The sequence below is a fragment of the Homo sapiens genome, chromosome 14, assembly GCF_000001405.40.
Source record: "Homo sapiens chromosome 14, GRCh38.p14 Primary Assembly".
Classification (NCBI taxonomy): Eukaryota; Metazoa; Chordata; class Mammalia; order Primates; family Hominidae; genus Homo; species Homo sapiens.
In genome coordinates this window covers 73,660,199-73,672,813 of record NC_000014.9, presented here as the reverse complement: position 1 = coordinate 73,672,813, position 12,615 = coordinate 73,660,199, and the positions used below count along the sequence as shown (strand labels likewise).

The 12,615-nt window shown below is 38.7% G+C and overlaps 1 protein-coding gene across 4 annotated transcripts in view, besides 3 other annotated features; it reads right to left on the bottom strand.

The window, feature by feature from the left end:
* The window catches only part of DNAL1 (dynein axonemal light chain 1), a 58,747-nt gene that overhangs the window by 30,919 nt on the left and 15,213 nt on the right, over window positions 1–12,615 (bottom strand). For all 4 annotated transcript variants that reach the window (XM_024449715.2, NM_001201366.2, NM_031427.4 and 1 more), the window contains 2 exons: window positions 10,772–10,827; window positions 1,217–1,272 (listed from right to left, as the gene is read on the bottom strand). In XM_024449715.2, coding sequence (XP_024305483.1) covers window positions 1,217–1,272; window positions 10,772–10,827 — 112 coding nt within the window. The remainder of the gene's footprint in view (window positions 1–1,216; window positions 1,273–10,771; window positions 10,828–12,615) is intronic.
* Window positions 4,716–4,885: an enhancer, noted in NCBI's record as "experimental_36567 CRE fragment used in MPRA reporter constructs". NCBI's record gives its function as "activates a minimal promoter by MPRAs in K562 erythroleukemia cells, with activity observed for the introgressed 14:74134717 or rs4635279 variant allele {active_cell/tissue: K562}" and the evidence as "EXISTENCE:reporter gene assay evidence [ECO:0000049][PMID:34662402]".
* Window position 4,800: a transcriptional cis regulatory region, noted in NCBI's record as "Neanderthal adaptively introgressed variant 14:74134717 (GRCh37/hg19 assembly coordinates) or rs4635279 in the experimental_36567 CRE". NCBI's record gives its function as "modulates activity of the experimental_36567 enhancer by MPRAs in K562 erythroleukemia cells {active_cell/tissue: K562}" and the evidence as "EXISTENCE:reporter gene assay evidence [ECO:0000049][PMID:34662402]".
* Window positions 8,694–8,988: a silencer, noted in NCBI's record as "tiled region #2817; HepG2 Repressive DNase matched - State 6:EnhF, and K562 Repressive non-DNase unmatched - State 23:Low". NCBI's record gives its function as "represses a minimal TATA promoter and a strong SV40 promoter by Sharpr-MPRA in HepG2 and K562 cells {active_cell/tissue: HepG2 | K562}" and the evidence as "EXISTENCE:reporter gene assay evidence [ECO:0000049][PMID:27701403]".

The window sequence follows — 12,615 nt, the reverse complement described above, 5'->3', positions numbered from 1 at the left end:
ACTGCACCCTAGCCTGGGTGACAGGGCAAGACTCCGTCTCAAAAAAAAAAAAAATCAAATTTTTACAGATCATTAAGAATTTTACTCACCATATCCAATTAGAAAACAAATAATTCATCTGATGGTTATTATTTTGGGTTAGGAAACTTCCTTTATTTAATCCCAGAATCTGACCCTTAAGAATTTCTTTTTTTTTTTTTTTTTTTGAGACAGAGTCTCGCTCTGTCACCCAGGCTGGAGTGCAGTGGCGCAATCTCAGCTCACTGCAACCTCCGCCTCCTGGGTTCATGCCATTCTCCTGCCTCAGCCTCCCAAGTAGCTGGGACTACAGGCGCCCGCCACCACACCCAGCTAGTTTTTTTGTATTTTTTTAATAGAGATAGGGTTTCACCGTGGTAGCCAGGATGGTCTCCATCTCCTGACCTCGTGATCTGCCTGCCTCGGCCTCCCAAAGTGCTGGGATTACAGGCGTGAGCCACTGCTCTCAGCCTGACCCTTAAGAATTTCCAGCATTTTATAAACTCATCAGTACCTCTTTATGCAGGTAAATAGAATCACAGAGGTGGAAATATAATTCAGAGTTTGGCTAACAAATTTGAGATAATTCCAAAATTGCACCTCTGAACATGACTCCTATTCAGGGTTACCACTGTTTCTGTACTGGGCAGGATGGTCATGTTAGCCTGTTTTGTCTTGGGAGGTTACTGTTGGAAACCACTGCAATTTCAGCTCCCCACTGCCTCTTACGAAGCACAAGCTAGATTTATTGGGAGGGGAAAAGCAGCCAGGGCCATACAAAATTTCAGTATGTTTATGAATTATTTAACAATAAACATCAAAAAGTATTGTCTTTTCGGGAACAGATACAAGAAATATTCACTTCATCTTTCCTGAAATTGCCTAGTTTTACGTTATTGTTCCATCTCACATTCTTTGGAAGGAAATTCAAATGGCCAATAAATATAGAAATAAGACATGTCAAAAAAATTTTAAATGCCCAAGGCTGGTATGGGAAATTGGGAAACCTCACACGTTACTGGTGGGAGTACAGGTTGTTGCAAACCTATTGAAGGGTAACTTGAGAATATGTCACAAAAGCCTTAAAAGAAACTGATACCTTTTGACCTAGTAATTCCATTTCAAGGAATTTATCCAAGAAATTATTCATAGATGTGTGCAAATTAAATAAATAAAATAATAATAAATAACAACCTACCAGTCCATTTAAGTTCTTTATGTTGTTTCTTCCTAAAGATAATATCCTCAAGTTTTCTGTAGTGAAAAGAAAACATTTTTTTGTTTACTAGAATCATATTACACAATTGTTGTAAATCTAGAATAATAAAGCTTTAATAAGTTTTATATAATAGATATCCTTATACAATGAGTAAGAAAGGTTGTGTTAACAAAAATGGGTAATCAAGTAGAAATAACATTGACCTATCATCTAAAGTAAACAGTACAGGTATAATTTCATAACATGTCAATATTAAATTTAAAAATGGTTAGCTATCTGGAACACATGGTCTTAAATTGCTGGCTAATAAAAATATTACAGGATAAAATAGCAGTAGAGAATATTTTGAGTTTGGGAGCATATATATTTCAAATCTCTTACAAGAACTCATACTAGAAAATAAGAACATATATTTATATATTGTCCATCTCACTCCATGAAGGATCAGAAGTGAAAAAAAATAAATTTGGTATTTAAAAAATCATTTTCTTTCAAGTTTTTAAATAATTAGACTGTGATTTGGTTAAAAAATAAAATGCCTGGCCGGGCGTGGTGGCTCACACCTGTAATCCCAGCACTTTGGGAGGCTGAGGCGGGCGGATCACGAGGTCAGGAGATCGAGACCATCCTGGCTAACACGGTGAAACCCCGTCTCTACTAAAAATACAAAAAATTAGCTGGGTGTGGTGGTGGGCACCTGTAGTCCCAGCTACTCGGGAGGCTGAGGCAGGAGAATGGTGTGAATTCAGGAGGCGGAGCTTGCAGTGAGCCGAGATCTCGCCACTGCACTCCAGCCTGGGCGACAGAGCGAGAATCCATCTCAAAAAAAAATAATAATAAAAATAAATAAAAAATAAAAAATAAAATAAAATGCCTATCTTTATTTTTTAAAGGTTATTTCTATTTGTATATCTATAGGCTATTTCTGGAAGAGAAAAAAGAAAGTAGAAACCGTGGTTGTCTTTGGGGAGGAACTAACAGAAGTAGACATTTCCCATTGTAACCTCTTTTGAACCATTTGAATAAAACCAGGTGCATATATTATTTTTCCAAATTAAAAATAAATTTCTTTTTGAAACACCCAGGAAACCTCATTTCTGTTCCAAGAAACTACTGTGATTACTTTTGCTTATTACTATATTTAATTTTCATAACTTAAACATCTATAACTTCTTTGTCTAATATGGTGGTCACTAGCCACATGTGGCTCTTTAATTAAAATTAATTACAATTTAAAATTCAGTTTCTCAGTCACATTAGCCACATTTCATAGTGCTTAATAACTATATGTAGCTAGTAGCAACTGTATTGGGACAGTGCTGACAGTTCTGTTGGATGACATTGTTCTATAACATCCATAATTGAATGGTAAGAACTCAAATCCAATTAACTGAGTTTCAATCCCAACTCTCTAGGGAAGCAAACAAACCTCTTTGAATCTATTTTCCCATATATAAAATGGGGAAATATAATTTCTATCTTATAGGAATTTAAGGATGAAATGAGATAATTACCTAAAATATTCAGTGAAATGTGTAACCCATGGTAAGTACACAATACAGATGTGTGTGTGAATGTGTGTGTGTGTGTGTATGTGTGTGTGTGAGAATCAGGCATATATAACTTCAATTTATTTAATAAATTAATTTGTCTTACAAGAAACAATGAGCTTTTAGAGCAAGGTATTTTAAGAGTGGTCTAATTCACACAAAATGATTTAACTGTTGAAGCAAGACCCCATGTTATGGGCTGAACTGTGTCCCCCGGAAAATTCATATCTTTAAATCCTAATCCCTAGTATCAGAATAGGACTGCATTTGGAGACAGAGCCTGTAAAGAGGTAATTGGGCCAGGCATTGTAGCTTATGCCAATTATCCCAGCACTTTGAGAAGGTGAAGTGGGAGTATCATTTGATGCCAGAAGTTCGAGACCAGCCTGGGCAACATAGAAAGACTCTGCCTTTACAGAAATAAAAATAAAAAATAAAAAATAAAAAATTTAGACCGGGCGTGGTGGCTCATGCCTGTAATCCCAGCACTTTGGGAGGCCGAGGCGGGTGGATCACGAGGTCAGAAGATCGAGACCATCCTGGCCAACATGGTGAAACCCCATCTCTACTAAAAATACAAAAATTAGCTGGGCATGGTGGCGCATGCCTGTAATCCCAGCTACTTGGGAGGCTGAGGCAGGAGAATCGCTTGAACCCGGGAGGCGGAGGTCACAGTGAGCCAAGATTGCGCCACTGCACTCTAGCCTGGTGACAGAGCAAGATTCCCTCTCAAAAAAAAGTTTAGCTGGGCATGGTGGCACATGCCTGTAAGCCTAGCTACTCAGGGAGGCTGAGGCAGGAGGATGGTTTCAGCACAGGAGTTTGCACCACTACACTCTAGCCTGGGTAACAGAGTGAGACCCTGTCTAAAAGAAAAAAAGAAAAAGGTAATTAATTGGGCCATTTGGACACTTAAAAAAAAATAAAGGGGTAATTAAGGTAAAATGAGGTCATTTGGATGGGCCCTAATCCAACATGATCGGTATCCTTGTAACAAGAGGCAATTTGGACATAGACACAGAGAAAAGAACATGTACAGAGAGAGGGAGGGGCCAGGTGTAGAGGCTCACGCCTGTAATCCCATCACTTTGGGAGGCCGAGGCGGGTGGATCACTTGAGGCCAGGAGTTTGAGACCAGCCTGGCCAACATGGCGAAACCCTGTCTCTACTAAAAATAAAAAAATTAGCTGGGCATGGTGGTGTGTCCCTGTAATCCCAGCTACTCGGAAAGCTGAGGCAGGAGAATTGCTTGAACCTGGGAGGCGGAGGTTGCAGTGAGCCAAGATCGTGCCATTGCACCCTAGCCTGGGTGATAGAGCAAGGCTCTGTCTCAAAAAAAAAAGAGACAGAGGGAGAAGACGGCCATCTACAAGCCAAGCAGAGCGGCCTCAGAAGAGATCAACCACACTGACATCTTGATCACAACTACAGGACTTTTACCCTCCAGAACTGTGAGAAAATTTCTATTGTTTAAGCCACCCAATCTGTGGGACTTTGTTACAGCAACCTAGCAAATTAATATATCCCATATAACTATAAATTTATGAAAATTAAATATTTAAGAAAATCACATAATTATTCTTTAAAGCTTCTTGATATGAAAAAACACCATTTTCTTTTTTCTATTTCATGAAGAATTAAACGCTTATTCGATAACTTATTCACTCAACACATAAGTTACTGACCATCTACTATACACCAGGAACAGCAATAAGCACTTGCAATATTACAGCAAATAATACAGACAAAAATTCCTGCTATCAAGGAGCTAACATTTGGCAGATAAACAAAATAAGTAAGTATATTAGATAGTGAAAAATGTGAAGGAGAAAAGAAATAAGCAGGTAAAAGGAATGAAATATCAGGAGGTTGGGAACAGTTGATTTTTTGATAGGAGATGATGTTAGGGAAAGACCCAAAGGAAGTTAGTAAGGGAGTTCACCATGCACATATCTGGAGGAAGAACATTTACACGCAAGAGAACTTCAAGTACAAAGGCTTTGAGGCAGGACCGCATAAGCTGAGAGAATGAAGGAAGAGTAATAGGACATGAAATTAGAAGAAATATTCTTGGTTGTAAGTAAGTCCATACGTATAATATGAAAGAAATTAGAGGAAATAATAGGCTTTAGAGAGGATGTGAGAGAGAGGAGTCAAGAAATTGCCAAGAGGTTTGGCCTGAACAACTGGAAAAATGGACTTGTCACTATCTGAGATAAATATGGCTCAGCAGTGGCTCACTCACGCCTATAATCCCAGAACTTTGGGAGGCCAAGGCAGGCAGATTGCTTGAGCCCAGCAATTCGAGACCAGCCTGGGCAACATGGGGAGACCCCAACTCTATAAAAATACCAAAAAAAAATTAGTTGGGCTTGTGGTGCACACCTGTAGTCCCAGCTACTCAGGAGGCTGAGGTGGGAGGATCGCTTGAGCCCAGGAGGTAGAGGTTGCAGTGAGCCGAGATGGCATCATTGCACTCCAGCCTGGGTGACAGAGCAAGATCCTGTAAAAAGAAAAGAAACACACAAGGAGTTGGTTTATCTGGGGCTAGGGGAATATATCAAGACTCAGTTTTGGACATGTTAAGTGTGAGATGTTGGCCAGTCACTGTGGCTCATGCCTGTAATCCCAGCACTTTGATTCAAGAGATCCTCCCACCTCAGCCTCCCAAGTAGCTGGGATTATAGGCGCATGCCACCATGCCTGGCTAATTTTTTTTGTATTTTTAGTAGAGACGAGGTTTCACCATGTTGGCTAGGCTGGTCTTGAAGTCCTAGCCTCAAGTGATCCACCTGTCTGGGCATCCTAAAGTGCTGGGATTACAGGTGTGAGCCACCGTCCCCAGCCATAAAATTAAATTAAAAAAAAAAAAGAAAAAATCAATTTAAAAGAAGTATGAGATGTCTGTTAGATATCCCGTGGAAATATCACCCAATGGAATGTATGAATCTGCAATTCAGAGGACACAGTTGGGCTAGAGATCTAAATGTGGGAGCCATCAGCATACTGATGGTGAGGCCATGACTCTAGATGAGATAATCTAGGGAGTAAATGAAAAAAAAAAAAGAGAAGGGATACAAGAACTGAGTCGTGGGGACTTGAAATATTTAAAGGTTATGGACGTGAAACTGGGAAAAAGTGGCCAAAAAGACAGGAGGAAATCAAGGGGGACAGTATCCTAAAGCCAAATACTGAAAATGCTTTAAAGAGGGAAGAGAAATCATCCGTATCAAAAAATACGCTGATTCATCAACTAAGATGAGGACTGAGAAATGACCTCAGCAATTGGAGATAACAAATATATGCAACTTTTTCTAAGATAATCTCTAACCCCTTTTTGAAAAACTGCACATGAAAATGGTAACGAATGGCTAAAAAGACCATATTTATTACTGTATAAGGAAATAAATTATGATATCCAAAGTTAATAGATTAAGTGTTCTAACATAACATAATATATATTTTCCATATTTTATGTGCTGCATAAGTAGGGTACCACTAGAAGAAAAGTACTATTGTTTTCTTCATACAGTATCCTGATGAAAATCAAAACTGTGCTTTCAAGTTTTATGCTTATTTGTAACCTGTAACCTGAAGGAGTAAAGTATAGTTTTTCACCAAAGATAAATGGCAACAAAATTTATTTTCTAATCTTTAAGATTATTATTCATATTATACAGCTTTTTAGTCATGGTTTGAACATAGTCATATCAAGCAATTTTCTAGTCACAATTCTGGTACAATAAATATAAACTGCTATTAGGGTTGTTCTGCCTGATAAATCACCTGTTAAATAGGAATACCTATTTATTTCAGATCTTCTTATGATGGCATAATAGGTAAGACTATAGTGTCATGAAAGGAGATGGGTAGGAGGCAAGCTAAAGCATAACTTCAATCCTCATATGGATCAATTAGCTTCTTTTTGCTTCATAGTCACAGATAAAATGTATTCGCTAGCCACAGACTACATAAATTGTATTTGTAACTAGCAGAACTAAAATGAAATGAGCCAAATATAGCAAATACCTATACTCTCTGATTTTGTGTCTACAGCAGACATGAATAATTGATCAAGGTATTCGTTCCACTAAGTTTTTAGAACTCTTATTATTACAATTTTCCTGAGAGTCTCTACCAACTGACCCAAGTTAGAAAGTGATTTAAAACCCACTGCCAGCCCTACATAGAAGGTCATCCATTTTCACTATTATCATAGTCATTTTTTTTTTTTTTTGAGATGAGTCTCACTCTGTCACCCAGGCTGGAGTACAGTAGCGTGATCTCAGCTCACTGCAACCTCCGCCTCCCAGGTTCCAGCTATTCTCCTGCCTCAGCCTCCCACGTAGCTGGGATTACAGGCGCACGCCACCACACCTGGCTAATGTTTGTATTTTTAGTAGAGACAGGGTTTCACCACATTGGCCAGGCTGATCTCAAACTCCTGACCTCAGGTGATCCACCCGCCTCGGCCTCCCAAAGTGCTGGGATTACAGGTGTGAGCCACCGTGCCCAGCCCATAGTCATGTTTTTATATAAAGAAAATCATGTAATCTGTGATGATAAATAATATGTTATCAACTTGCTTAGTCACATTTAAGCAAGTTACAGAGCAAGTTATTAAGCAAGTTACTTCAATTACAGAGAAAAAAACTGAGGCAGAGAATAAAATGTAATAGCTTAAATTGTTTGAGTGAGTCAGCAAAAAATTAGAATAGACAGGCATCTCACACACAACTCTACTAGTTAACACTATGTAAATACCGAAGGCCAACTTTCCAGCACTGTATAAGTACTGAATGCCAACTTTGAGTAAGGTATGAGGGGTGGGGGTACTGAAATAGAAGATTAAAAGATTAATAAGATGATGCTTTTCCTCAAGGAATTCACTATCTAAAGAGCAGAACATATTCCCAAGTAACTATAATAATGGTTAATATTTATTGAGCATTTTATATGCACCAGGCACAATTCTAAGTACTCTATATATATACTAACTCAATCTTCACAATAATTATATGATAGGTAATTATTATTATAATCCAAGTAGACTGTTATGAATATTTCCAAAGGAGTAATTAATTTTGATGATGGAGATGAGGGAAGTCTTCAAGGAGGGGGTGACATTCACACGTGGCATTCGTAATTTTTTTTTATTTTTTTTTTTAGACAAGGTCTTGCTCTGTTGCACAGGCTGGAGTGCAGTAGCACCATCATAGCTTGCTGCAGACTCACTCTCCTGAGCTCAAGCAATCCTCCTCCTAAGTAGCTGGGACTACAGGCAAACACCACCATGCCCAGATAATTTTTAAAATTTTTAGTAGAGATGGGGGTCTCGCTATGTTGCCCAGGCTGGTCTCGAACTCCTAAGCTTAAGTGATCCACCTGCCTCAGCCTCCCAAAGTGCTGGGATTATAGGCATGAGCCATGGTACCTGGCTGCATTCTTAATCTTAATTTGTTATAGGATTTTCCTGTTACAGGAAAAAGCTGTTCTCAGTGAAAATTATTGCATTAATAAATGCTACAAAGTCATTTTTAAAATAGTGTATTTGGGTGTAAATTGGATACTAAAAGCTTTTAGATGACTTTTAATGCGACATCAAGGCATTTGGTCTTTACTAGGCAAAGAGATACCATTAAAAGGTCTCTGATATAATGATATTCAAATGATATTTTTAGAAAGAAAACTCTGTTATCAGTGATGAAGGTCACCTGAAGGGCAGAAAGACAGGAGGAAAGGAGATCAATTAGGAGGCTATTGAGGGAGAAGAAAAGGAGAAATCAGTTAAGTAAACAGTTAAGGCTGGTCCTTGGAAAAGCAGCCTGCCTGAAAAATCACAGCTACAGGCAAAAATATAACAGTCTGTGGAAAACTCAGGCTGCACCTGCACAGATAAGTATGTAGGGTCCAGCACAGATTCTTCTTTGTGTAATTGGTGGGCTCCCAGGAAAGTTTCTTCCCCTTTTCAGTTATGTACACAGTAGTCTCCCTGGGAACCTGTACAGGGAGGAGAGGGACTTACCTAAAACAAACCCACAATTATACAAAGAAGAGAAGCAGTGCTTTGATGCCTGCCTAGAGATACACCCACAACTACATAGATAAGGGGGAGTTGTGCAGACAGCTTTTCAAATAAGAGAAGTTACTCAAACAGCTACAGAGGTGAGAGGAGTTTCTTATAAAAGTTTTTGAATTCAGCTGTAAAAACAGCAACTCACTTGGGGTTCCCTTTCCACTGCAGAGAGCTTTCTTTTTTCACTCATTAAACTTTCACTGCAACCTCACCCTTTGCATCCACATTCCTTAACTTTCTCAGTCATGAGGCAATGAACTAGGATAACACCTTAGATAATGAGACCAGTGACCCTGACCTGTTTGACTATCACAAAAGTTGTAAGATAGTGTTTTTCAAACTATGGGTCATGAGCCTAAATTAATAGGTTGTGAAATCAATTTAGTGTGTTGTGATCAGCATTTAAAAAAAAAGAAATAAAAATTTAAAAATACATACTGGAACTGGCCAGGCGTGGTGGCTCACGCCTATAATCCCAGCACTTTGGGAGGCTGAGGTGGGTGGATCACTTTAGGTCAGGAGTTTGAGGCCAGCCTGGCCAACATGGTGAAACCCCATCTCCACTAAAAATACAAAAATTAGCCAGGCGTGGCGGTGGGCACCTGTAATCCCAGCTACTCAGGAGACTGAGGCAAGAGAATTGCTTGAACCTAGGAGGCGGAGGTTGTAGTGAGCTGAGATTGCACCACTGAAATCCAGCCTGGGCAACAGAGTGAGACTCCATCTCAAAAAAAAAAAAAAAAAAAAATTACTGGGACCTATGCTATATAAGGGTAAATACTGTCTTGCAAACTTTATTCAAGTTTATATGTACGTATATATTTGATATGCATATTCATATGAATGTATAATACATTCAGATGTATTTCTTACAATGGAAAGTGGTCAAAATGTTTGAAGAACATGACCTAAGGGGAAGATGATGAGGGTCTAAAAAGTTGTAACTCCTGGAAATGGAAAAGCAACACTTTATTTGAGAGCTCCTTCAAAGAGTAGAGTTAACAGGATTTAGTGATAAATTTGCATATAGGGCTTGAAGAGAGACTGTGGTAGGCTAAACAATGGCTCCCCCAAAGATACTTACATTCTAATGCCTGGAACCTGTGAACGTTACCTTATATGGCAAAAAAAAAAAAAAAAAAAGTACTTTGCAGATATGATTAAGGATCTTGAGAGACAGGGAGATTATCCTCAAGATCAGGGTGTGCCCTAATGCAATCACATGTATCCTCATAAGAGGGAGGCAGACAGAGATTTGACACAGAAGGAGAAGCCAGTGTGACTACTGGCAGAGACTGGAGTGATGAGTCACAAGCCAAGGAATGCAGCAGCCACCAGAAGCTGGAAGAGGCTAGAAAAAGATTCTCCTCCAGCCTCCAGAGGGAGCATGGCTTGATTTTCACCAGATGAAACTGATTTCAGACTTCTGGTCTCCAGAACCATAAGAGAATATATATCCATCATTTTAAGCCATCAAGTTACAGCAGCCGTAGGAAACTAATACAGAGTCAGAGGCCTTGGCAACTGGGAGGGAGGCAATGTCATTAACGAGGATAAGGAGCACAGGAAAAACAGGGATGATGAATTAAAATTTAAATATAACAAGTTTGAAATACAGACAATACAAATCTGAACAAAGAAATACACAATTAAAAATCTGATATTCTATTTAAGACATCTCAATTCTAACTCTATAAAAGCTTTTAAATGTCTTTAAAACGTTCAGAGCTCATGCTATCTCTATTTTTCTTTGGATAATCAAACTTAAGACATAGTTTATGTATTCTATTATCTGACAACAAGTATGGCTAAAACAGGTGCCAGCTTCTGGAATTACATATTGTCTCCGGAATGTTTATTAAAATAACTAGGAAATCCATGAACCATCTGTTACTGTGAATCACTTACTTAAGCCATTCAGGTTGGCAATTTTTTCAATGCAGTTTGTAGACAGTGAAAGCTTCCTTTAAAAGAACAAAGAAAAAATTTAATGTGAAAAATGTAAATGGTAAATCAGAAATTATTCCTTAACACTAGTGCCCATAAAAGATAATATTTAAGTAATATTTTCCCCACTCAATCATAGCATTTATTACTTCATTTTGAAATCATTGTTTTTCTCTGATTACCTAAGTTTAACACTCATTAAAAATTTGAAAAAATCTTCTTGAGGGCAATATGGTATTAACAATTTTTTTTTCTTCTTAAGACAGAGTCTCACTCTGCCACCCAAGCTGGAGTGCAGTGGCACCATTTCAGTTCACTGCAACTTCCACCTCCCCGGTTCAAGCAATTCTCCTGCCTCAGCCACCCAAGTAGCTGGGATTACAGGTGCCTGCTACCATGCCTGGCTAATTTTTGTATTTTCAGTGGAGACAGGGTTTCACCATGTTGGCCAAGCTGGTCTTGAACTCCTGACCTCAAGTGATCCACTTGCTTCGGCCTCCCAAAGTGCTGGGATTAGAGGTGTGAGCCACCACACCTGGCCCTGGTATTATGAAATTTTTTAATGCATACATTTCTTGACCAAGTTTTTCACTTCTAGAAATACATCCTACTGAAATATTAATATAAATGCCAAAAGATATATGAACTAGATTATATGTATTACTGGAATAGCAGAAAAATTGAAAAAATCTATAAACACCTGTTAACTTAGGAACAGATAGTGAAATACTAAGCTGCCACTAAAACAAAGGAGATAGGGCTACAGATACCGACTTGGGAAGATGTCTATGATACATAGTTTAAAAACCATCTAGCAGAACAATATATATATTTTTTTTTTAGACAGAGTCTCGCTCTGTGGCCCAGGCTGGAGTGCAGTGGCATGATCTCAGTTCACTGCGACCTCCGCCTCCCAGGTTCAAGCGATTTTCATGCCTCCGCCACCCAAGTAGCTGGGATTATGAGTGTGCGAGTCAGGTAAATGACTGGCCAAATCTGTATATTTTCTAGTCATCCCCCACTCCTGAGAACTCCCAGTGAATAATGGATTGCCTTTAAATCTAGGAATATGGTTGGGAAATAATTCTTTAATTCTTGTTAAGGCAGCTAGCACAAATAAATTGTCAGCAAAATATGAACAGGTTGACTCGAGGTGATATACAAGGTGCTTTAGTATGAGGTATAAAACCTTCTCAAATTTGTTTGCCTTTGAGATGGCTTTATGATAAAAAGATATGTGACCACTTTGAAATCATGCCTGATGCCAAAAAAGCATGTGGTGGTGGATTTTTATGTGACACACTGTGTTCTCATCACAAAGAACAAGCTGCGTACAAAAGCTAAATATGTTTGCTCTCCCCTTTGATCCCACAGATGGATATTAGTCTAATGCATGGGTTCACAAATATGTGTCCTAGAATTACCCAAGTTGCTTACTGTAAATGCAGATTCCTAGGTTTCATCAGCAAATATTCTGTTTCTATAAATTTGGGATGGGGCTGATCTCCTGCATAAAGTGCAGATGATCAAGGGATCACACTTAGACAAACACAGGGTGAAGAAATCAGAAAAAAACCCAGTGATTCTATGGTATACTATAGCCCTGATGAGACACACTTGTAGCCTAAAAACATGGTTTCAAGGCAACGTGGTATAATTGCCTCAAATTAGCCACAGAATCCTGCTAAAATACATGTATTGAGAAAATAAATTAAAAGAAACTACTATAGATCTGATATTTAAAGTCACAGGATATAGGATTACAAAATAAGTAGGCCAGGCACAATGGCTCATGCCTGTAGTCC